At 40.2% G+C, this 2,136-nt stretch overlaps 1 pseudogene; it reads right to left on the bottom strand.

The window, feature by feature from the left end:
• Positions 569 to 1,060, bottom strand: RPL27P1 (ribosomal protein L27 pseudogene 1; annotated as a pseudogene).

Raw genomic sequence — 2,136 nt, 5'->3', positions numbered from 1 at the left:
AGGAGGAGGACATTGTATGCCACACAGGGCCACATCGGAGTTGCACTCAGGAACACAGTGAACAAGGACGGGCTTTGGGAGACAGGCTTTGTAGTATCTAAAGGGTGAGGTGTCCCTTGGTTCCAACAGGAAGGTGTGATTCGCTTGTTTGAATAATATCACAGGCTGATAGGGAACGGAAATTCACTACTCAGAGATAAGCAGGAACTACACCTGGTTCTCTTGATACAGAGGGTTATTTGGCTAGGGAATCTTATCTCTGGGAACAGAGCAGCAGGGGAACTTACATTTAGGCCATTTAAGGCCCTCCTGATTTCACCAGATATCGAAGCAGCACAGAACACTGCATCTTAGTTTCAGGTCTTATGACAAAACACCTTCCTTAACTCATTTACCTTGCTTGTCAAGCCCATGTACATATTTGGATGGAGACTCTGTAGCTAGGAGGAGGAATTTTTCTAATTCTAAAGGTTTGTGAAATTGAAATACATCTGCAAGGATGGTTATATATTTTCTTCTCTGAAGATTAAAAAGAAATACAATGAACAAAACCCAAGAAAAGTAGTTTTTTTTTTCTTTTTAATTTTTAATGACCAAAACAAAGCCTCTAAAACTGCAGCTTCTGGAAGAACCACTTGTTCTTGCCCGTCTTGTACCTCTTTTCAAACTTGATCTTGGCTTCTTGTCCAGCCTTGGGTTTAAGAGCAGGGTGTCTGCAGACATCCTTATTAATGACAGTTTTGTCCAAGAGGATATCCACAGAGTACCTTGTGGGCATTAGGTGATTAGTTATAAACTTTCACAAAAGACTTGATCTTTGACCTCTTGGTGATCTTCTTCTTGCCCATGGCAGCTCTTACTTTGCAGGGATAGTGGTCAATTCCAGCCACCAGGGCATGGCTGTAGGGGCGATCTGAGGTGCCATCATCAATGTTCTTCACGATGACAGCTTTGTGTCTGGAGTAGCATCCAGCCAGGACAAACACCACTTTCCGAGGTTTCAGGAACTTGCCCATTTTGACAGTAACCACTGGGGCCTACAGCAGAAAGGAAAGAAGGAAAAACTTTAGTTTTTAAATGCACCTCTGCCCAGAGTGGATAACCTCTAGGATCTTTTAGGGATTTTTCTATACACAAAATGGCATTTAAGTTGGTATTAAGAAAAATTTTATGATACGATTGATAGTGAAAGAACTTACCAACATTTACCAACATTATTAGGAAACATTTATTCATTTGGCCAATGTTTTTCGTTTGTTCAAAAATTTTTATTAAATATATACTGGGTCAAGTGTTAAGGCTTTAACAACAATGATTCATTTTCTTACCTGAAAGAGCTTGCATTATGTTTGAAGAGACAGAACATTAAACTATCAATTACTAATCAATGTGGTAGGTGCTATTAAGGATATAAACAGAAAACACAAAGAAGAGGAAAGGCATCGTGATCTGCTTGGAGGTTTAAATTTTTTAAAAAACAGATAATTGAGTATCTGAGATGACTCAGCACTGATTTGAAAGTGAAAAAAGTCATCTCTCAGGGTCTTTCCAAGTTCAGTGTTTCTGAAATCTTCAATTTGAAAATTAGTACACACTGGGTGCAGTGGCATGTGCCTGTCGTCCCAGCTACGTGGGAGGCTGAGGTGAGAGGATCACTTGAGCCCAGGAGTTAGAGGCTGTAGTATACTATAATCATGCCTATAAATAGCCACTGCACCTCAGCATGGACAAGAAGTGAGACCCCGTCTTTAAAATAATAAAAAGAAAGAAAAAATTAGTACTTTCTGTGTAATATCCACAGAGTACCTTGTGGAAATTAGGTGATTGTAGTTATAAACTTTCACAAAAGCAGGAAATTTAAGGAGAGTTTGATAAAGAAATGATTTGCAAAGGTGTAGATAGAATACAGATACAGCCCATGAAATGAAAGGGTTCCGACAATTTGGTAGCTTCCATGCTTTCTCTCTGGTAATTTGTCTTCAGTTGGTTTTCCTTTGTCCAGTGCGGCTCATGTAAGCTGGAGTTCAAGGCTGTATGTCTATGGTCACAGATTTCTGTGGTGAGCTATCTCTAGTGACCTGGATGATGACTTTGAGGTCAGAGAGAGGGGTCCTGGGGTCTTAGCAGTGGACCGAG

Source organism: Homo sapiens, chromosome 14 (assembly GCF_000001405.40).
Source record: "Homo sapiens chromosome 14, GRCh38.p14 Primary Assembly".
Classification (NCBI taxonomy): Eukaryota; Metazoa; Chordata; class Mammalia; order Primates; family Hominidae; genus Homo; species Homo sapiens.
The sequence above is the reverse complement of the archived record's forward strand: the minus strand, read 5'-3'. Positions and strand labels throughout refer to the sequence as shown.